The sequence below is a fragment of the Homo sapiens genome, chromosome 2 (assembly GCF_000001405.40).
Source record: "Homo sapiens chromosome 2, GRCh38.p14 Primary Assembly".
Taxonomy (NCBI): Eukaryota; Metazoa; Chordata; class Mammalia; order Primates; family Hominidae; genus Homo; species Homo sapiens.
The window spans coordinates 98803467-98827382 of NC_000002.12; the positions used below are offsets into that span (position 1 = coordinate 98803467).

General features: G+C 47.5%; 1 protein-coding gene across 11 annotated transcripts in view; it reads right to left on the bottom strand.

Moving 5' to 3' along the window:
- CRACDL (CRACD like) overlaps window positions 1-23916 on the bottom strand; it is a 142380-nt gene that overhangs the window by 9621 nt on the left and 108843 nt on the right. For all 11 annotated transcript variants that reach the window (NM_207362.3, XM_005263926.4, XM_017003972.2 and 8 more), the window contains 2 exons: window positions 23509-23703; window positions 18391-20071 (listed from right to left, as the gene is read on the bottom strand). In NM_207362.3, the coding sequence (NP_997245.2) occupies window positions 18391-20071; window positions 23509-23703 (1876 nt within the window). The remainder of the gene's footprint in view (window positions 1-18390; window positions 20072-23508; window positions 23704-23916) is intronic.

The window sequence follows — 23916 nt, forward strand, 5'->3', positions numbered from 1 at the left end:
TTTTCATAACATTTCTTTCTTGTTCATAGAAGTACACAAGCATATTGTACAGATTTAGAAAGTAGATAAAAGTATAAAGGAGAAAAAAGCTTCCCATAAATCAACAACCCAAGGGAGCTGTGTGAACACTTCATACTTTGGCATATGCTACTTCCAATTTTCTCCATTATGCTGTCATCCTAAAAATGCACATCAACAGCTCATTCCCAGGTCTTCACAACATTCTCTGTGGAAAAGAGGCCTGAGTTTGCTAAGACTTCGGATCTAAAGTGGATCCATCATCGCCATTTCTCACAGCCAGCTGTGCTAGAACAGTCACTGTGCCTCGTTGCTTCAACAAATAGAACAGCGGTCCTCTGCTCTGCCTGCCATCCAGGTCCACTGCCACAGCCCTGGTTGACCTGGTGGAAATGGGACCTGTCTACAGACACTAAGAGGACTTCTGGGGCAGAGGTGGGCCCCAGGCCCTGGGGACACATGGGGCCACACCACTGCGGCAGGGTTTGTCAGGCTTCCTAGATAAACAGCTTGAGGGGTTTTGCTTTTTAAAAGCCATTTATTGATCTGTTGTCAGTCTTGACTCACAGGCTGCTCCTGATCAATACATGCTGGCAACGTCTACAGTCGCTCGTCATCAGATCTGTCCCAGAGCCAGGCTGTGTGATCTCACTGTGGAACTCAGGGTGGTAATGCTCAACCAAGTCTTCTTCTCAAAACCATGCTGAGCATTTTGAGACTGAGCAAGAGCTTTTCAGGGCAGGCCCCCACTGCTAATGACAGGAGACGGTGCTGTGTCCCAGTTCCACCTTAAATTAAGCTTACCGCCATTCCTTCCTCTCCTCATTCAACAAATAGAGTCAATCATCGCTGTGAGCTGACTCCATATTTGAGAATTCGCCTACTCGCTAAAATACATTTGTAATCCCAAAATCAATATGCATGGTGTTGGCATGGTCATTTGCAAACACGTGCAGGGCAGCAAAACATTTGAGTTTCCCAATGTGCAAGTTCCCAGCTGAGGTCAAGCAGTGATGCGCCGCCTTATTGTTTTAGCTCTTACACCGTATACAGTATCTTTTTTGTAGTCTACTCAGTGCCACATTTTGGGGCACTAGGTTTTCTTGGTGATTCTGCTGGTTAGGCTGCCAAGTGGAGTGCTGATGTGCTGTCTAATGTTCCTAAGCCCAAGGAGGCTGTGATGTGCCCGATGGAGATAATGTGTGTTTCAGATAAGCTTCATTCAGGCCTGAGTTACAGTGCCGTTGGCTGTGTGTTCGGTGTCAATGCGTCAACAATATATACTAAATAAAGCATCTTTAAACAGAATTACACCTAAAACAAGGTTATGTGTTGATCTATTGATGCTGTGGCAGGAGACACACAGGAAGCTAACCTTGCATTTCCTCCAGGAGCAGTGGCTCAGTACTTGCTAAGTTAGCTTGCAGTGACTTCTCAGAGCATAACTTCCTTAGACAATGAGAACGGACTGGACCTGGTGGGTGCCCACTAGGTGCCAGGCCCTGGGGAAGGTGCTGAGTCTAGACAGGAATGATTTTTTTGAATCTTTCTCTCCAGTGCATGGAGACAGGCTCTCCTGCAAAAGCCATCAGGACCAGAGGATCTTCTGACAGCCACCATGGTCCACAATCAGGAATGAGTTCCAGAGCCTGCTGAAAGGGGACACGGCAGGGCCTCTGGGGTGCTGGTCTCATTCTGTTTCTTGGTCTGGTGTATTCAGTCTGGAAATGCACTGAGCTACACACATAGGATCTGTGCATTTCTCTGTATGCATATTATTCTTCAATTAGAAGTAAAAGCACACAAATAACAAAACCCCCCCTAAGACAGGAGTCACTAGGTGCTTGAGAGTGACCAGGAAGAAGAGCCTAGCTCCCTGTGCACATAGAGAAATGAGGCAAGTTTGCACCCAGAGCTGTTTCCACACTGCAATTAAGCAAGGTGCCCCGGATGCCCTCACCAGCAGACCCTTTCCACCGCTTCACTACCCCACAGCTTCAAGTGCACCCTCCGTAGGGCCTCACCCCCTTTGCCTTTTCTAACCACTGCCTCCCCTCATCCACACAATCTCCCTCCTCCTCCACCCTCCAGAGCCTCCCCTCCTCTTGCTCCACTTCCTCTCCTAAGTGGAATTGCACAACTCAGCGAGTGCAGAGGATCTGACTCCACACAGACTCACTTTGCAGCCTAGGGGCAAACAGAAGGACACTGTTTCTGGAAGCTTCTTTCCCAGCCACCAGCATGGGGCTGCCAGGGCCAAACTGCCCTCATCCCTTACCTGACTCCCAGGTCAGGAGGCACTGCCAAGGGCTCCTCAGCCGGCTCTCCTGCTTTCCCAGGCCAGGCTTTCTGTGGTTTGAATTTCCCAACTGATGCTCAGAAACCCGCCTCCCGCTGGGCCACATATCTCTTTTCACACAAGCTTCAACTCCACATGGCAGAAAGACAAAAGCCACTGCTGCTTTAACAGCCCTGGTAGCACGCTTCTATCATTAAAAGGCGAGGGAGTGAGGGCCCAGAGGGGCCGTCTTCCCCGGTGAAAAGGCTGAGGGAGACAGAGAGTCTCCCAGTGGCAGCATTTATTTACGAGGGCCTCATATGGTAGTATATCCATCATGGGGTGGGGTGAGTGTCAGTCCTTGTCCCAGGGCAGGAGTTTGCTCAGGTCCCCATAGTAGAAACTGATGTGAGTTTTTCCCAAATGGGGCCCTGGGGTCTGCTTTGGTTGTTGTCAGGGCCCCAACTATACCTGCTTTGGGGATCTATTGCTCACAGGTAACATCTGTGAGAAGGCATTCATAAAGAAAAAACAATCGTTGAGTCACATCTGTGTTTGGGTGTGTGGAGTGAGGCCAGGAATCTGGCCAGCCATGTGTATTGGGGGCACCCCAAGGGGCAGATGCCTTACCAGGCTCTTTTCCTGACTTCTGGGACAGCTGCCCAGCACTTGGCATGTCAAGGTTGGCAGACATCCCAGGGTGGCCTGGTCCAACCTCCACATCTCATAGTGGAGATCCCGGGGAGCCAGGGCCGGGCTCAACGGCACAGAGTTGTCAGTGGAGGAGCTGGACTGAAAGCACACTTGCTAAACTGCCGCTGCCTGTGCAATTAAAGCTAGCCTCTCGGCAGGAGGCAATGACCACTCTACCTCCACAGAGACAGCTGGTCTCCGCTCCCAACCAGCTGATATAACTGTGACCTCACAAGGATATGGGGAGGGAAAGGCACTGTTATTTAAAAATAACTTTGAGCTAGAGCACGATTGAGAAAAAGGTGAAAAATTATTCTACTTACACTTTGAAATGTACACAAACACCTCACCTTAGATTCCTTGTCTCCCCATCTCAGATCTCCAGGAACTGCTGGAATTCTACAAGAACTGTCTAGGGTGGCCAACAGAAGAGTAAGTAATCCATTCCAGGGGCAGCTATTGTCCTTGGAGCTCAGATTTCCCTTTCTCTATTACATCTGGGCCCTCCTTCACTCAGCACTAGTCAGGTAGGGAAGTTTCTCCCGACCAAAGAAATGTTCACAGCTAAGGTTTATTCCATCTTTGTCTTCAGAGCAGTATCATATTCATAATGACCCTCACAGCCCTCCTTGCAACGTAAGGATATTTTCAATCCCCATTTTGGATATGGGACCACAGAGTCTTATGGAACAAAGTGACTTGTCCAGGGTCCTTGGCCAATATGTAACAAAGCTGGGATTTGAACACAGACCTCTTGATCTCTAATTTTCATTCACTACATCACATACCATCTCTTACTAAGAGGTATGACCTCATGACTGTCCTATAAAACCACTTCCTCCCCATTTTAACTTATTCATTGAGTGGCAAACAACAGTTACTCAGCCTTGGCACTGCTGACATTTTGGGCTGGATAGGTCTTTGTTGTGGGGAGCTGTCCTGTGCACTGTAGGATGCTCAGCGTCTCTACCTGCTAGATGCTGGTATACCTCCCTTCCCCACCCTACCACAGCGGTGTCAATCAAATATGTCTCCAGGCACTGCCAATGTCTGCTGGGGCCCATGCCTGCCCCAGCTGAGAACTGCAGTGCAGCATGACACTGTGGAGCGTGGGCTGCAGTGAGTCTATGTGGCCTCCACCTCTCCTCCACAGTTTACTAGCTACATGCCTTTGTGCAAGTTCTTTAACCTAAGTTTCTTTTCTTATTTACTAAATAGAATTGTTGTTGAAAATTAACGCATAAAGCATTTAACGTTAATACTTGGCACTTAGTAAGTGCTCACTATATGTTAGCTATTGTTGTTATTATTTACCCATTTACTGAGAGGGTAAATCTGCTGCAGACCCTGACTTCAAGAAGCTGATAGAGGGGGGCAGGCATACAGGCAGAAAGGTGAAGTATTATGGTGCCTTGACACCCAAGCCATTTTTGGGAAGAGCACAACCCTTACAGAGTCTCAGCAAGATGCTATTTGCTAGTGACAGCCCTGAAACAGTGCTGCCCAGTAAAACTTTGTATAATGATGGAAATGCCCTCTGTGCTGTCAACCAGTCATACGTGGCTCCTGAGCTCTTGAAATGTGGCTGCTGTGACTGAGGAACTGCATTTTAATTTCGCTTACATTTACATTTAAACAGCCACGTGCAGCTACTGGCTCTGTGTTAGAGAGCGCAGACCTGGAGCCTCACCACTCCAAGTGTCGTCCACGGACCAGCACTGCTGCCATTATTCCAGACGTACTGGGTGGGAAGCATCACCTTAAGCAGATTCATAAGCACTCCTAAGTTTGAGAAGCGCCGCTGTCCTAGAGCCCAGTATCTCAACATTGGCCACACATTAGAACCACCTGGGCAGCCTTTAACACTCTCACAGTCTGGGATTCATCCTGGGCAGGTCCACCAAATCTGTGGGGGTGGACTCCCAGGTGACCGCAAGTTGCAGCCAGCTTTGCCAACCACTGATCTTGATGCTGCTCTGAGCTTCTGCCCAAAGAAACCCTGAAGAGAGAGCTCACAGTATGTTGTCCCCTTTCTGGGGACAACAGTGCCCAGCTGACCAGATGACCCAGTTCTTGAGAACTGGGCTGACATCTGCCCCCTGCCCCCAGGCTCTGGTAGATGCTTCTTTTAACCAGCCAGTGCCCCTGGTCCCCAGGACATCTACCCCCAGGGCTGCCCATGCTATGGGTCCACACTGTTGCCACCTCAGACCTCACCTCCTGCCATACCCTTGGCCCTGCTCAGAGGGGCCTGGGACACTTCCTACTTGTCATAAAGATACTGTCTTCTCTTCTTCAAACCTATTTCTCTCCTGAGCCCTGGGGTGAGTGCACAGAGGGTCTCAGCGCCCCCCACATAAGGTTAATGGCTGCCGTGGAGAAAGTACTGAAGCCAGCCCTCTGAAATGGCACCAGTGCAGCTGCAGGGGATGGGCGGCACTGCTTATCTGCTCCTGGGAGGTGGGCTGCACCTGTGCAGGAACCAGAGCACTGCACCTGCAGGTTCTAGAGACATAAAAGCACTGCCCGATCCTGGTCTCCCATGGTCCCCCATCCCAGGTAGAAACTGTAAGACTTCCAGCACCTTCTCAGTCCTTCTCAGGTCCCAGCAGTCACCATGGTCACTTTTGTTATAATCAGTTTTAATTCAGTAATTAAAATGTGTAGCCTCTGGGCGAAGTGAGGCTATGACTCCTGAATGCAGGGTGTCTGAGTTGGGGCGGAGACTCCTTTCCCGAGGGCTGAGAGCTGGGGAAGAAGGAGAGTAGGGAGATCAGCAGGACTCTTTGGAGCCTTACAAGGTTTTGTCCTGCCTGGGCCTGGCAGACACTTGAAACTGACACTGGGGGATTCCCAGCCACCACTGGGACTCTGGTTGTGACCGCTTCTCATTGTCCCCTTGTCCTCTTGGCTGGCTCCCCATGTGGGGCTCTGGGAGCACAAGTGGGTCATGTGGTGGTCCTGTCTGCCCCATGCCCACAGGTGGTCTGAGTCCAGCAGCAGTCCTTCATGTCTCCCAACTGCAGGGCACATCTGTTCAGCTTCTAAGAAGTCCCATGGAAGCCACCCTTGCAGACTCTGCATGAGGGAAGTTTCCTCTGCGCTGGTGGCTCACAGGACTGCAGTGTGCTCTCCACAGAAAGTGTTTTGCAAATCCGCTTTATTCCTCCCCACCGTCCGTATATTCTGAGGGTGGGGGTGGTGAGTGGTTGTTGACTCCACAGATCCTGCAAACATGCTCTCTGGTATCTTACATCTCTGCATTGGTGCCTTAACCAAAACTGGGACAAGGAGAATCCCATTCTCATACAGCATTCTGTGCAGCTGAGATGAGAATATTTTAGTACATGTTTAGGAAAGTATGACTGTACTCTATGAAACTGTATCACATTTTGCAGTTAAAATGTCTTTGCTGCCCTATTTGCTGTTATTACAAATAACCTCATTATATAAAGGAGGAAATTAAGACTCAGAGTTTACAAGACTCAACTTGCTCAGAATCCCACAGCCCCTAAGAGGTGCTCCTCAGAGTAAACCCCACAGATCCACACTCTTCAGTCTTACCACCCAGCCCCTGCCTTGCTCCCTCCCTCATCCCAGCACCTGGTCATGCAGACACAGCCTGGTCCAAGGATCACCCACTGCAGGCTAGGAACCCCAGGGCATGGGTATGGGTGCTCAACAGAGGAAGAAAAACCCTGGAAGTTCTCAAGGGCTCAGGATCTAGTTCAGGGGTCGAGTGAAGTACGCTCAATATGGGCAGGGGTGTGTACAGAGTGCCAGGGAGCTGGTATCAGGGGCGGGGCTGCAGGAGATGTTGGAGGGAGTGAAATGGCAGACAAACTTAGAGAGGCAGAAATGTTTGTTTTGGCCAGAATCTAAAAAGCCTTAAATGCCTTCTCTAGGAGTCTGAATTTTATTCTAAATATAATGGGAAGGCAATGCGAATTTTTAAAGAGGAAAGCTCCATGGTTCCACCCACGACCTGGGAAGAAAGGGTAAGAAGAGAGTTGGAGGGAGGAGGTACTGTAGGTGTCAGGTTAAAGATGAGGCTGGCATGGGGACGTGGGAGGATAAAGACGCTGCACATTAGGATGACCAGAACTTGCTGACCAAGGTGAACATCACAACTGGCATTTTTCATCCATCAGACTGGAGGAAAAAAAACACTGACGACACTTAGTGTTGATGAGGGGGTGGAGAAATAGTCTCTATTCTGCTGGAAGAAGTGTAAACCAGCACAACCTTTATGGAGGGTAATTTAAAGTTGTCTATTAAAAGTGCACATGATCTGAGAACCTGAAAATCCACTTTTAGGAATCTATCATAGAGAAACAACCGTGTAAATACATAGGGATTAAAATGGACAAGAATGATTACTGCAGCACTGTCAGCAAGAGGGAGAAAAGCTCAAACAAGCGGAATGCCCCTCAGGAGGGGAACAGTTAAATAAAACACAGAACACATACAGTGTAACCCTTAAAAAGAAAGACGCGAGGCAGTTCACTCTGATATAAAAAAAAAAAAAAGATGCCCATGCTTTACTGTGGAGTGAAAGTGCAAGCCAAGATGTACAGCATTTTTGTGATTAAAATAAAAGGATCCACGTGCCTAGATATGCATGCCCATCTTGTTGTGGTTATGACTGCAGTGTTCAAGGGAAACACGATGAATCTGGTGGTGCGGTTCCCCCTGGGGAGTGGGATTAAAGAGGTTCAGAAAGGGGTGGGCAGGAGGCCACTATCCCTTTTTTTTTGTATTTGAAAATTATTCTGGCCGGGCATGGTGGCTCATGCCTGCAATCCCAGCACTTTGGGAGGCTGAGGTGGGCGGATCACGAGGTCAGGAGATAGAGACCATCCTGGCCAACATGGTGAAACCCTGTCTCTCCTAAAAATACAAAAAAATTAGCTAGGCATGGTGGTGTGCCTGTAGTCCCAGCTACTCGGGAGGCTGAGGCAGGAGAATTGCTTGAATCTGGGAGGCGGAGGCTGCAGCGAGCCAAGATCATGCCACTGCACTCCAGCACTCCAGCCTGGTGACAGAGCGAGACTCTGTCTCAAAAAAAAAAAAAAAAAAAAAAAGAAAATTATTCTTACATTTATAGATAGTAAAATTCACCCTTTGGTTGTACAGTTCTGAATTTTAACACGTTTAGCTTCTTATAACAACCGTCACAAACAGGATACAGAATATCAACACCCTGAAGAATTCCTTCTTCCTTCCCCTATGTAACCAGACTCTCCTCCTACTCCCAACCCCTGGCAACTACTGATCTATTTGTTCTCTGTCCATATATTTTTGCCTCTTCCAAATGTCATAGAAATGGAATAATTCAGTTTGCAATTTTGAAAGACTGGCTTTATTCACTGAGCATGCACAATTAAGGTTACTGTGTATATTGAGGGTCCATTCCTTTTGATGGCTAAGTAGTTTTTAATCATATGGATGTACCACAGTTTGTTTCCCATTCACCAGCTGAGTTACATGTGGGTTGTTTCCAGTTTTGGGTGATTATGTCATTTGTATTTTTACTTTTGAGACAGTGTTGCTCTGTCACCCAGGCTGGAGTTGCAGTGGCACAATCTCTGCTCACTGCAACCTCCACCTCCTGGGTTCAAGCGATTCTCCTGCCTCAGCCTCCCAAGTTGCTGGGACTACAGGTGTGCACCACCGCACTCAGTTAATTTTTTATTTTTAGTATACATGGGGTTTCACCATGTTGGCCATGCTGGTCTTGAACTCCTGGACTCAAGTGATCCACCCACCTTGGCCTCCCAAAGTGCTGGGATTACAGGCGTGAGCCACCGCACCTGGCTGGTTTTTGGTGATTTTGAATAATGCTGTTGTAGACATGAACGTATGACTTTTGTGGGAATGTACATTTCCATTTATCTAGGATAAATACCTAAAGTGGAATTGCTGGGTCATAAGCATATTTTTAATTTTATAAGAAATTGCCAAACTGTTTTCCAAAGTGACTGTGCCATTTGCATTCCCATTGGCCATAGAGATAATACTCTAATGAGAATTGCATTTTCTCCACATCCTCACAAGCACAATGGTATTATTAATATTTTTTGTTTTGGTCATTTTAATAGTTACGTAATGGTATCTCATTATGGTTTTGTGTTTCCCTAATGGCTAATGATGGTAAGCATATTTTCAGGTGCTTATTTGCCATCTGTACACTTTCTCTGGTGAAATGTCTGTTCATGTCTTTTGCCCGTTTTCTAATTGGTTTGCTGTTTTTTTGTTTTTTTTTTTACTATTGACTTTAAAGAATACTTTATATATTCTAAATACTGGTCCTTTATAGGATATGTAGTTTGCCTATCTTTTCTTGCAGTTTGTAGTTTGTCTTTTCAGGCTCTTAAATAGGTCTTTTGCAAAGCAAAAGGTATTAATTTTAATAATGTCCAATTCATCAAATTTTCCACTTTGGATGCTTTGATGACAAGTCTAAGATGTCTTTGCCTAGCCCTATATCCCAAATATTTTCTCATATTTTTTTCTAAAAGTTTTATAGTTTTCATTTTACATTTAAGTCCATGACCCCTTTTGAGTTAATTTTGTATATGATGTAAGACTTAGGTCAAGGTTCATACTTTTGCCTATGAATATTCCTATGCTTCAGGACCATTTGGTTGTGATGTACAATTTGATAATATTTTGTTAAGAATTTTGCATCTAGGGCAGGCACAGTGGCTCATGCCTGTAATCCCAGCACTTTGGGAGGCTGAGGCAGGTGGATCACCTGAGGTCAGGAGTTTGAGACCAGCTTGACCAACATGGTGAAACCCTGTCTTCACTAAAAATACAAAAAATTGGTCAGGTGTGGTGGTGGGTGCCTGTAATCCTAGCTACTTGGGAGGCTGAGGCAGGAGAATTGCTTGAACCTGGCAGATGGAGGTTGCAGTGAGCCAAGATTGAGCCATTGCACTCCAGCTTGGGCAACAAGAGCAAGACTCTGTCTTAAAAAAAAATTTTGCATCTAAATTCAGAGATACTATAGTATACTAAATTGTACATCACAACCAAATGGTCCTGAAGCATAGGAACATTCATAGGCAAAAGTATGAACCTTGACCTAAGTCTCACATCATATACAAAATGAACTCAAAAGGTGTCATGGACTTAAATGTAAAATGAAAACTATAAAAATTTTAGAAAAAAATATGAGAAAATATAGTATCTCTGAATTTAGTATAGTATACAGAGAGTCTATAGTTTTCTGTATTGTCTTTAATTCCAGTATTACAATCATGCTGGCCTCATAAAACGGGTTGGGAAGTGTTTCCCCTTAGTTTTGCTGAGATTTTGTATAATTGGTGTTATTTCTTCTTTAAATGCTTGGTAGAAATCACCAGTCAAACCACGTGAAAATGGAGTTTTCTGGAAGGTTTTTACCTACAGATTTGATCACTTTAACAGATACAGGACCATTCATGCTATTTTTTAAGTTTGATAGTTTGTGTCTTTCAAGGAATTGGCCCTTTTCTTCTCATTTGTCAAATTTATGTGCGTAGAATTGTTCATAGTATTCCCTTATTATCATTTTAATGCCTATGGAGTCAGTAGTGGCACTCCATAATGTTTGTAATTTGTGTCTTTTTTCCCCTCAGTTTTTAAATCAACTTTATTGGCTATTTTGAAGAACCATCTTTTGGTTTCATCAATTTTTTTTCTATTATTTTTATATTTTCATTTATGTTTGCTCTTATGTTTATTATTTCTTTCCTTCTTGCTTTGAGTTTAGTTTGCTTTTCTTTTTCTAGTTCCTTAAAGTGGAAGCTTAAATTACTGCTTTGAAACATTTTTTCTTTCTAATATAATTTAATGTTGAGTTTCCCTAAGTACCAGTTTATCTGCATTCCACAAATTTTGATATGTTGTATTTTCATTTTAATCCAGTGTTCTAATTTCCCTTGAGACATCCTCTTTGATCCATGGATTATATAGTGGTGTAGTGTTTAATTTCAAATATTTGATGATCTTTTTCATATTTCTTTCCAGATATTTTTCAGATGTTATCAAACTCTTATTTAATTCATTAAGGGCAGAGAACAAGCTTTGAATAATTTCAATTCTTTCGAATTTAATAAGGGCTGTTTAGTGACCTAGAATATGGTCTATCTTCATGAATGTCCCATGTGCACTTGAAAAGAACATGTATTCTGCTGTGGCTGGTGGGCTGTTCTATAAATATCAATTAGGTCAAGTTGGTTGATGATGATGTTCAACCAACTTGACCTAATTGAAATATCCTTTCTGATTTTCTACCTGCTACTTTTCTTGACTACTGACAGAGGAGTGCTAAAGTCTCTACATCTTACTATGGATTTATTTATTTTTCCTTTCAGTACTACCAAGTTTTTGCTTCATGTATTTTGAAGCTCTGTTGTTAGGGACACACACATTTAGTACTCTTATGCATTCTTGATTCACCAATATTACTGAAATTATCATTATATAATGTTCCATTTTATCACTAATAATTGTCCTTTTTCTGAAGTCTTCTTTGTGTTATATGAATATATAGCCACTCCAGCTTTTCCAACTCTAAAATTTCTATCTTTATAGCTTCTATTTTTTTTTTACAGAGAATTTCTATCTTTCCATTAATTCCAAGAGTACTCATTTTTACTTCTTAGAATGTGGCATAATAGTTGCTTTAAAGTCTTTGTCTAATAATTCTAACATTTGAATCCTCTCAGGGTTGGCATTTGTTGATTGCCTTTTTCCTCGAGAATTTTTTAGGCTTTCCTGGTTCTTTGTATGTTGGATAATTTTGGTTCATATCCTACAGATTTTGAATATTATGCTGAGACTTGGTCCTTCTAAAATTCTCAAAAGGTTTTGCTGTGCTCATTCTAGTCAGTTTTATGCATGTGCAGCTCAGGGATGAGCCCAGAACTTCATACACACATTTAAAGGATATCTAACTCAGATGTCTCCTTTCTGTAATCTCCACTCCTCAAGGTTCTACGGCTAGAAAGCCAAGGTTTAGCCTCTCTGCACTGTAGCACCTTCTTGTGACTGGGACCACCTCAGGACAGAGTGGCAAGGGAAAGGAGCCTGCAGGACCCCCAACCACCATACCTGTTGCTGCTGTCTGTGCTAATACGGGGGTATAGCTTCATTTTTGGGTTTCTCTGGGGGTAATGTCTAAAGAGTCAAAAGAGCTCTGACCCATAGGAGCTGCTGTGGGGAGAGGCAGGTACTCACTTGGAGTGCTCTAGGCTGGTGCATACTTGGAGCAGGGCTGGAAGGGCTAAAGGACCGTTGCCCTGCAGAGGGTACTGCTACCATCTTCAGCAGGGGTGAGGGGTTGGCCACTTCACTGATGACCAAAGATTAGGACTGAAAGAATCAAGAGTTGTGCCTCACAAGGGACATTACTGCCACTGCCACCAGGGCAAGTAGTTTCAGCTTGTTGTTGGCATTTGCCTGGCATAGGGATGAGAGAATAGAAAGAACTCCATCCTGCAGGGATGCTGCCGCCAAGAGGGATTTGCTGCTTAGTTGCTGGTGTTCACTTGGAGTAGGGCCAAGGCTGTCCAACAAGCTCTGTCCCATAGGGGCTGGTGGTGGGGGGGTGCAGTAGGATCTGGGCTAGGAAAGTCCCAGGAGCTCTGGCCTGCAGGGGTTGTTGATACCACCAGTGGCAGAGCGCAGAGGTGTTACTTCACTGCTCACACTTGCTATGGAGTCAACACTCAGGTCCTGATCTATCTCCTCAGGCTACCAGCTCCTCCTCTTACCTACCTTTCAGAGTCCCCTGATACTCACTTTATGCATTCAGTTTAGGGTTTTATGACGTATCAGTGGGAGAGATGGGGTGGTGTTTATTCCATCTTGGTCAGAACAGCAAGTCCCTTTTTATGTCACTTTTAAAGTGGTAGGATTACGAGGTGATTTTACTATCATTTTTAGGCCACTCAGGATTGTTCATATAAAGATATCTGTAATAATGCTGAGGTTTCTGGCTTGAGTATCTGGGTAGATGGAGTACTGAGAAGGAAAGAGAACTGTGCTGGAGGTGGCATTGACAAATGGAATTATGAATGCTGAAGTGTCAAGTCAGGGCTGCTCATCAGATGGGTAGGTGGCTGATTGCTGTGGCCCAAGAAGTCAAGGGAAGCAAGAACTCCAGGAAACAGGTGGGAATCTGTGATGTGTCTTGCACGAGGGGAAATGAGGAGAGGTCGCTTTGTACTGGGTGACATGCAAGGTTAAGACACACATGGTTGAGGAGCAGAGGAAAGAGGCAGGGAAACAGAGGTTACAGTGTTGATGACACTTGCTCAGAAGGGACTGTGAAGGGAAGGGCAAGACAAAAAGAAATGCCAATGTGAGCAAAGTTGGTTTTCTTTAAGAATTCAAGACATATGTGGGTATATACCCAAAATAACTGAAATCGGAATCTCAGAGATATTAACACCCCCTGTTCACTGAGGCACTATTCACAACAGCCAAGATGCGGAAACAGCCTAAATGTGTTTGGACAAACAAATGGATAAAGCAAATGCAGTGTATACCTACAGTGGAATATTATTCAGCCTTAAAAAGGAAGGGAATTCTGTACTTGCAGCAACATGAATGAACCTTGAGGACATTATGCTAAGTGAAATCAGCTAGTCACAGAAGGACAAGTATTACATGATCACATTTCTATGTGAAATCTAAAATAGTCAAATTCATACAATTGAAGAGCGGAAAGGTGGTCATGAGGAGCTGGGCGGGGGAGAGGGAAATTGGGGGCTATTCATCAATGTTTATAAAGTTTCAGTTATGTTAAGAAGAGTACGTTCTAGAGATCTGCTCTATAACACTGTACCTATAGACAACAATACTGCATTGTACATTTTAAAATTTAAGAGGGTCAATCTCATGTTATGTGTTCATATCACAATAAAATGAAATTTTAAAAATTCAAGAGACAGGAATATATTTTTAGCATGATGCCAATAAAACCCCCCACAGCTTGTATTCTAACCCAAATGAATTTGAATATATCTGAACTGTGTCATTAAAAAAGGACGACAGTCTCTTTCAGTTCATTTCCTTCAGAAAATGGCTGTGACATACAAAGACAAGGTGGCCAGAAAATGGCTGTCTACACTCCTCCAGCATCCAGCTACCACCTGCCTTCTCTGTGCAATAAACTCTGAGGGTCAGTCCCCTGTGCTCTTCCCATCTTTTGGGGCCAAGAAAGAGCTTGCATGGCAGGAGGACATTAAATATTTGTTGAAAAAAAGAATGCATGAATGAGTGAGTACTGGAGTCTAGAAACAGAGGGTCAGAGACTGGAGTGTGTTACTCTGTCACCAACCCTGTCTGGAGGAATCAAGCTCAGATTAGCCAATGCTGGTTATCAAATGAGGTCCCCAGGTGAGAAGGGTGGTTTCTTGCACTACCTTCCAAAACACCAACATGTGACCATGACTTTGTAAAAAAAATAAATCTCATACCCAGAAACAAGACAGACTAGAAGGAGAGCTGACCTAGGAGTGATTTTTTTTTCTACATACTTTCTGTGTTTTGCAATTTTTCCACACAATATTCTCTAACTCCTTTGTTCTCATTCTAATCCTGCGTGCAGAAGCTGCTTTATGACCTGTAATTTAGACTCTGGGATGGATTGAACCAACAGGAGGATGCATAATGTTCTGCACAAATGAACAAGGCTGATAACCCTGGGCCATTTACTTCCTACGACAGATCAGCAAATTATGAACCAGGCTTATAAACAGGGCTCCTCTGCCTCGAGGAGCACAGACACATACTAAGCTTGCAGTAACCACTCCAGCACAGCCCCTGTGAGGCTCAGCCCCTTTGGCAACCCAGGCTCCTGTTTATTACAACCAACCACCATTGCATCCTTTCCTACTCCTTCTGCTGAAGCGTCCCTCCATTCCTTCAAAGAAGGAAAACAAGGTGTGGAAGAGAGGAGGAGGAATAAACCAGGTGCTGGGGACAAAGCAGTTTGAGTGCCCAAAGCCGAGTCATCTGGAACACTTCAATCATCCAACTTTACTGTACATGCCCTGGAGGGAGGACGGGGGAGGTGGCAGACTATCTGGGAGCTCTGGGCAAGGTATTTGCCACCACAACAGCAAATATTAGGTCTTTCTGGAAACAGAGTGATATTGTTATTAAAACTTTCATTATCTGTATGTTTTATGTGAACTGAATTGCTTCTAGCTAATGTAATTTGGGAGCAATGAGAATGATAATAGTAGAAGTGATAATAATCAATGAAAGCACAAACAGATTTGGCATCTAGGGAAAGTGTGGGGGCAGCTTCACTGCTGGGGTCTGACAGCGCAGACCCTGAGATTCTGCTCTGGTCAGCATGAGATAGCCCCTCAAGGTCCAGGTAGGATCAGGCAGCAGGCCCAGCCTGTCCTGGTACCTGTCCTTCCAATACCACTGCCCCTGCCCCCAGAGTTGCTTCCCTATAGAATGTGGGTAATTCCTTCCCTCTCTCTGTGTTAAAATGAATATCATTAACCATACCCATAAAGTAACCTAGATTCTTCTTTCGTTTTGAAATTCATCTAACTCTGACATTTCTATGGCTTTAGTGAATGTGATTAAACTTAGATGGATGAGACAATTCTCTTCTACTATATAAGCAAAGCTGTTAATAAAAAAAATACTCTATTACATTTTATAAATCAAAGAAAAATACACAAAGTATTTACAGATTATCCCAGGCATTTTATAGTGAAGAAAGCCTGGCTTAGGTTGAGAAACTTACATATAAATAATGGGCAAAGCATTGCCCTCTGAAGCTTCTTTTTCAGATCTGACTACGAGCTTGATATTCTGTTTTTAAGTTCCATTCATTTAGCAAGCTCTTGAGAGACATTTTCAATTCTAGGCCATGAAGGTCAGGGTTTCATGTGCACAGAGAGCAACTCCTTCCTCCCTTGCTACTTCAATGGCTTTTTGAATCACTCTACAATAGCTTCAATAACCTCAATGGAAATCTGCAGAGTGGATCGTCAGTGATGGTTTGAACTTCCTCCAGATTCCGCACTGATTATCCTACTGCAGTGGCAGCAGCAACACAAAATCACGGCTGTGCCAAGGGGCCTTCAGATTGGGAAGGCCACATGTGTGGGCTCTTTGGAACTGTGAATCCTTGTGTGTCACGTTAGGAATTTAAAGCACTGTAAAAGAGCCAGAAAAGATTAGACTATTTTGGAACTGTTTTCACATTGTTTTGTATGAGCTAATTTTCTTCCTATGTATGCATCTTCCTCTTAGGGTGCAGGATTCCCTAAGAAAGCTACTGGGTTCTATTTCCTCTCTGTCCCACAATACACTGCTTGAGTAGCCTGAAACATTCTTTTTTTTTTTTTTTTTTTTTTGAGATGGAGTCTCGCTCTGTCACCCAGGCTGGAGTGCAGTGGCGTGATCTCGGCTCACTGCAACCTCCGCCTCCTGGGTTCAAGCGATTCTCCTGGCTCAGCCTCCTGAGTAGCTGGGATTAGAGGTGCGCGCCACCATGCCTGGCTAATTTTTGTATTTTTAGTAGAGATGGGGTTTCACCACGTTGGCCAGGCTGGTCTTGAACTCCTGACCTTGTGATCCGCCTGCCTCGGCGTCCCAAAGTGCTGGGATTACAAGTGTGAGCCACCACGCCGGGCCAAAACATTTTTAAAAAACAAAATTTGTCATGGAAAACTTCTCCCTAGGGCCCCCATCACATGCACACACAACTTATTTGTGTAGTTTCATTTTCTGGTTCACAGATTTCCATTAATTTAAAAAACCAGCAGGTCAGGCATGGTGGCTCATGTCTGTAATCCCAGCACTTTGGGAGGCTGAGGCGGGCAGATCACTTGAGGTCAGGAGCTCGAGACCAGCCTGGCCAACATGGTGAAACCTCGTCTCTACCAAAAATATAAAAAAATTAGCCGGGTGTAGTATCGTGTGTGCCTGTAATCCCAGCTACTTGGGAGGCTGAGGCAGGAGAATCACTTGAACCCGGCAGGTGGAGGTTGCAGTGAGCCAAGATCGTACCACTGCATTCCAGCCTGGGCAACAGAGTGAGACGGAGTCTCAAAAACAAACAACAACAAAAACAACAAAAAACCCAGCAATGAAAGATTCTTTAGCTCTGCTGCAAATACACATTTTCAACAGATTTCTCATTTCATCTGAAACACTATAAGAAGTGACAAATGTCAAAGACAGAGAAAGGTCATCTACTTTGTCTCTGCTCATTTCAAAAGACAGCTGCTTTCAAATATTCTTACGTTCTGCCTCAATGTTAACCCAATCTCCCTTTCAGGACAGCAAGTAAATGCTGACCCTCTTGAGAGACTTACGTTTTATACAGACTTGTGATTCCAATATATGGAATACTTTCCATGTTGCAGCTGAGCCACGTGAACCTGATTATGAAGCAGGAGGAAATTCTTTCTTGGAGGAAAAGGTCAGAAGGACCCTAATAGAGGAGTATGTTTCATTTATAGCCAAGAAATAGCTTAGGCCCTGAAAGAACCTGCATCAAAATGAGTACACATGTCCTGGGATTTGGACTTTGCTGAGTTTCTTAGGTCAAAAGTGGGAGAAGAATTTGAGGGATTCGCTGAGAGTCCTATCAAAATCAGTTTTTACGTTTCTCTTTATCTCATGTTTACACACTGACTTCTCTGTACTTATGCAAAATCCTGGTATTTATTTTCCCTTTTCTACTCTTTATTCCTTATTTTATCTCTCTCTTTTTAAAACAGACAGGGTCTCACTCTGTCACCCAGGCTGGAGTGCATGGCACCATCATAGTTCACTGCAGCCTTGAACTCCTGGGCTCAAGCAATCCTATTTCAGCCTCGCAAGTAGCTGGGACTACAGGCCCTCATTACCACGCCTGGCCAGTTTTAAAATTGTTTGTAGAACGACGTCTCACTATGTTGCCCAGGTTGGTGTTGAACTCCTGGGCTTATCAGCAGGCCTTGGCCTCCCAAAGTGCTGGGATTACAGGCATGAGCTACCGAGGTCGGCCTATTCCTTACTCTAGATTAGGGGTGTCCAATCTTTTGGCTTCCCTGGGCCACACTGGAAGAATTGCCTTGGGCCACACATAAAATACACTAAACTAAGGACAGCTGATGAGCTTAAAAAAAAATTCGCAAAAAGTCTCAATGTTTTAAGAAAGTTTACGAATTCATGTTGGGCCACATTCAAAGCCGCCCCGGGCCCAGGCCGCGAGTTGGACAAGCTTGCTCTAGATCAGACATGATGTTAGTGGGAATTCTGACTCCTTCCAATTCCCCTGCAACAAAGTTTGTACCAGGAGCATTTGGCGAGTGTCCAGCAAGATGTGCCCGTGGATGTGGATCTCCCCAGGCCCTGCCCTTCCCGCACCCTCGGCGGGCTCTTACCAGCTCCCCTGCGCAGCGGCCTTTTCTCCGCCGTCCTGGGCTCCTTCCTGGGTTCCCGCTCTCCCGGGCCGGCGTCGGGGGGCGCGGGCTGGTGCGGGAGCGTGAAGCTCTGCAGAAGCGGCTTCCGGGGCAGGGGCGGCTTGGAGCTGAGCGGCTCGGGGGGCCGGGCCTTCCCCTTTCCTTGGTCGCTGGGGGCCCTGGTGCCTCGAAGGGCGGGGGCCGTCCCGAGGGGACACTTCTCCTCCTTCGGGAGCACGGTCAGCGACCTTTCTAACCGGACCTCGGCACTGTACCTCTTCACACCCTTCACCTCCTGAGAGGCGCCATCCCTGTATTTGAGCGAGAGGGAGGTGGACCGGAGCTTGACGGGGAAGGGGTTTCTGTCCTCACTCGGGGCCGGCTCCTGGGCGGCTGGGCAGGGCTCTCTCGTGCCGGGCGCGGCGGCCGCCTCCTGAGGGCTCTTGCGCGGCCCGGCCGGGCTGGCCGCCCTGTCCCCCGAGTCCTGAGGGCCGCGCTCCGCCAGCTTCCGAGGGCCAGGTTTCGCGTGCTGGGGCTCGGGGAGACCCTGGAGGTCGTCAAGAGCCGCCTCGCTCCTCCAGACCGGGCCGCTCCTCGCGAGGGGCAGGCGGCCGCTGGCCCGTTCCAGCGGGCGGGAGACGCCCGGACGAGGCCGCGCTCGGCACGAGGACACCGAGAACTTCTTCGCGCCTCGCAGCTCGGCACCGCCCCTCTCCGCCTTCCGCTCTGGCGCCGCCCTCTCGGCGCCCGCCGGTGGCGCCTCGGCTCGCTCGGCCTTGGGGCGCTCCGGGGCGGCGGCCTCTGCGTCGAGGGAACCGGGGCCGGGCTCCACCGGGGGAGACTCCGCAGCGGCAAGCGGCGGGGACGCGGCGGGGCCCTCGCTGGCGGCCGCGGGCCGGTGTTTCAGGCAGCTCTTGGGCGCCGGCGGGCTCGGGGCGGGCGCCGTGGAGGGCTCGGTCCCAATTCTCTCGGGCTCGGTCCCCGCTCCTCTCTCGGGCTCCGTCTCCGCTTCTCTCTCGGGCTCAGGCGCCGGCCCTGGGGGCCCCTTCTCCTCATCCGGGAGCACGGGCGGCGTCGGCTCCGCTTCCTTCGGGACACTGCGTTCTGGCCCGTCGCGAGCAGAGGGCGCCTCTGAGGTGGCGGCGGGGTCAGTCTCGGGGGGAGTCGTGTCCCCCTCAGGGATGGCGGTGGGAAACGGGCTCGCGACGTCTTCGGGAGCACAGACCACCTCCTCCGCCTTGTCCGTGGCCGGGGCACACGGGCCTGCGGGGGGCGCCTCCCCATCCTGCTTTCCGCCGTCGGGACCGGGATTCGGGGGGCCCTCCGGCGGGGACGGGGGCTCCACGCGGAGAGTGGGGGCCGACTCGGGCTCGGCGAGCTCCGGGGTGGCCGGGCGGCTTGAGGGGTCCTCCCCGGGGACGCCCCCCTCCTCCACGCTGGCCGTGAGCGCGGAGGAGTGCTGCAGGCGGGCGCGTCTGGCACGGGCCCCTCCGGGTGGCGGCAAGGGCGCCGGTGGCCCAGGCTCAGGGCCTCTGTCTGGCGCCACGTCCTGCTGCCCAGAGCTGGGGCGCTCTTCTGGGCTGACTTCCAAAAGTGGCTTCTCCTCGTTTTCCTCCTCCTCTGGGGTGCACGTCAGGTCGCTCAGGGATTCAGACTGAGCGCGCTGAGAGAAATAAAGATAAAAAGCATCGTCGCTATAGCCAATTCCAGGAAGCCTGTCACCTCCCCACTTTTTTCAAGGCTTATAATGGTTTAGTGATAGCAGCACTATAAAGCTGGCACTTAAGTAGGCATGTACCCACGGGTGTCTTTTCTCAGTCTGTATCCTACTGGTCTACTTGGGCTCACAAGTTTATCAGGACAATGGCAGATATGCCTCCAAAGTAAATGTCTACAGCTCCTCTGGCAGAGCCTCAAAACCAGTGGACTAGAGTAACGCCAAGGGAAGGCGACCAACAGCAGCCAGTGTCTGCTATGCTCTGTGCTCCCACACTTGTTATTTCATTTAATCTTCCATTCATCCCAGTGAGGAAGGGATGATGAGTCCCTTTTTGCACTTGAGAGCCAGGAACTCAGAGAGGCCAATACCTTGTTCAAGCCTGGGCAAGCAGGTGGCCGAGCTGAACAGCTGGGACTCTATGGCTCTGTGTTCCTCCCAGCCAGTCTCCCATGTCAACACTTCAGGAATGTACCCTCATAGTAAAGCCAGACTGGTTTTCCTAAAAGATGGCTCATATCATGCCAATAGCTAACCATGGCTTATAGGATAAAACCAAAATTTTCAGCTAAATTTAAAGTCCTAGATTCTCTGGTCTTAAGCCGTTTCTTCCACTCCCTACTCAGGTCAAACCAAGCCCTCAACACTGTGCCAGACACTTGGTCTGAGTGACTGTCACCTCCCCACTCTCCCCCACCCCCCTGCCCCCAACCTCCAAGATACTCTACCAGGGCCCCCAAGGACTATTTCAAACTCTCCCACTCTATGCAGTTTAAGATTCCCCCCTTCTCTGGCCTCCTGAAGCCCTACTGGCTTGGCAAACATACAGTGCCTTGTGATAGTCTTCTTCTGAAAGACCTCTAGAATTCAGATTCCAGTCCAACTTCCTCCTATTGTCACAAAGTCAGTTCCTGCTCTCTCGGGAAGGAAAGGAGCTCCAGGTAACCAAGAATCATTCAAAAGTAACATGTGGAAATGACGAAAAGGTTGATGGTGTAGAGACTGATCTTTTAGAAAGTTTGTGATATTAGACACCAAGAGTCACCCAGGCTATTGCTCTCTCCTTCCCCTTTTCTAAAGCAGGAACTGTGACAGGGTATGTTTGCAATAGGTTTTTCTTCTTGCTGTTTGTTATTATTTTAACATTTTTCATGGCATCTGCTTGCTAATAGAATATAGGATGCCTGGGATGTTTGTGACAATACCTAAGCAAACTCTTGCCAAAATGCACAATCCTATTCTTTTGGATTTAAAAAGAGGAAGAGGCACAAAGAAAGCTACAGAAGAACTTTCAAAAGCTGCAGGTTCTTTACTTTGCCATGTTGATGGCCTTCTGCTACTACAGGAAACTGCTGATGTTGAAACCTCTTTAGGATGGAGGTCACCTTTTAAAACTATCAGTCACAGAGCCCACACAAGGCAGCAGAGGGGGCAGCATGGCTGTTCTTTCCCATCCTGGGAGCATTTAGGGAGCATCTGAAAGCACCTTGATCCCTGAGAGGGGCCAGGCCACAAGGAAGGTCCTTATGGTTGGGAAGAGGGACCTCATGACCAACGGGCAAAGGGTGCTATGGACACTGAAGGACAGAGGCCCCCGGCATCATAGGTTCCACAACAGTGGATGGAGGAAAATATGGACACCTCTGAGAACTTCAGATATCCATGCCCGCTCCTTACCAAGCAGGGAAGGGGAAAAGAGGGAAAGACCATGGATGTGACAGAGTTGAAATCAAGGAAAGGCTGTTTACCTGTTTGCCCAGGCTGGCTACATCAGGTTTTCTGTTATTCTACAAAGTGGGATTCAAGAACTAAGTCAAGTTCAAATGTAAAGAAAGAAGGATATAAGCCCTGCCCAGATGGGAGCAAGAAGGGAGGCTGTGTTTCCACCTGGAATAGACACCACGCTTCGCTCTGTCACCAAGTCCTGGCCAGGTTGTGGCTGGCTATAAACGCCCTGGCCAGAGCCAAAGACATCCCCGTGGGATTCATAAATCACAGACTTGAGGGCCAGAAGGGAGCAGGCCCTGGCCCTGTAGTCTCATTCAGCACGAGTACAGGCAGGTCTTGAGTGACCGGACCTTGTCACACTGACACAGCACACAGCCTTTAACTGTGCATGCACTGGACACACACACCTAGGCACAAGTATCCTGGTTCCTAGCTGGCACATCAGCCTGAAGGTAACTCACCTTTGCTTCTTCCTCCAGCATTAGTCCCCTCAAAAGTCTACTCTGCTGGCATGAGTTTAAAGAACACCTTCCATATGCCCAAAGGAAAACTCACTCTCTTCAGGGAGTTGCTGAACTCCTGAGTGGCCCTAGCCCAACTGTCTCCAGCTGAGGCACCCAGCTTGCCCTGGGTACTTCACCAACACACCACAATCATGTCATGAGGGAAGGACAGAGGACATTAGCCTGTGAGCATCTCTTTATCAGCACTGTCATTCTCTGTGGCCAGGCTGGTCCCCACTCCAGGGGGGACGCGTTACAGTGCCCGTCAGGTAGGGGAGAGGGAACAACCCTATGTGAACCTCGAACCTGCCAGTAAATGAAGCCAAAGTATTCCATGAGCCAGTTTCTCAGCTTCTAGGACTAGGAGGTAACGACACCCTGAGGCAGCACACCCAAAGAGGGGTCTGTCTTTCCGAGGCATGCTCCCCATGCTACTGAGTAGGCCCTCATCCAAGACAGTTGTCCACGCTAGTGTTTCAGCTTCTTTCATTCACTCATTTGTTAATTCACTCATTTGTTTGTTCAGTGGTTCATCCATTCAACAACTCTGTGACTAGAAATGTTCTAAGGGCTGAAAATGCAGCCAGGACAGGGTCTCAAAGAAGACTGGCAATAAGAGCACATCCATTTACAAAGGTCACTTTGGCATGTGGCGAGTGTTCTGAAGGAAGTGAACGGGCAGGGTGAGTTTTTCTGGGGGACTCTCAGGCCCCAAGGCTGGGACACAGCAGCACCAAGGCCTGAGGCTAGAGGCAGCTCTTGAGCTCAAGAGGCAGAAAGGTGGCCAGAACGCTGAGTGAGAAAGAAGGTAAGAAGCCTGGGGGGTAGGCAGGACCTGATGTGCCAGGCCTGGAGCGTGGACTTTCCTCTGAGTGCAGGGGGAAGGCAACCAGTATTCAGTAGTGAGTGTGTGAGGAATGACGGACAGACGGATGGATGAATGAATGGAGCATTTCTGCAAGGGAGAGACAGATCTGGTTTATGTTTAAAAAGATGAGCAACTTCAGCTCCTGCAGCATGGCTCCATCAACTGTGGGGTGCTCAGAGGGGGCATGAGACCCTGTGTGGGGGAGTGAGGCAGGTTGGGGGGGGGCATAGGGGGGTGCCAAGCCTGCCTGGCCTGCCTCTGTGTGGAGAAGGAAACCCAATTACCGATGAGAGCCGCCTCATCTTACTCGACCGCTGGTTGCGGGGCTTGACCTGGAGCTTGTGCTTAGCTGCAGAGTTGTCCAGGCAGGAGGAGGATTCTGCAGGATAACTGAAGTCAGCCACTGGTGCCAGGCTGTTGTCTGAGATCCGGGCAGAGACGGTGCTGTCGCTCACGTGGTCTGGAGACACGACAGAGACCTTCGTGGGACAAGGAACAAACACACGGAGCATGAACTTCACCGTGTGAAATAAGGACGACCAACGCAACAATGCTCTTTTCTGCCCAGGCTGTCTTCCCACACTGTCTCTGGCTTTACGTGTGTGGAAATACTTTCTTTTTTTTTCCCCCAAGATGGAGTCTTGTTCTGTCACCAAGGCTGGAGTGCAGTGGCGTGATCTCTGCTCACTGCA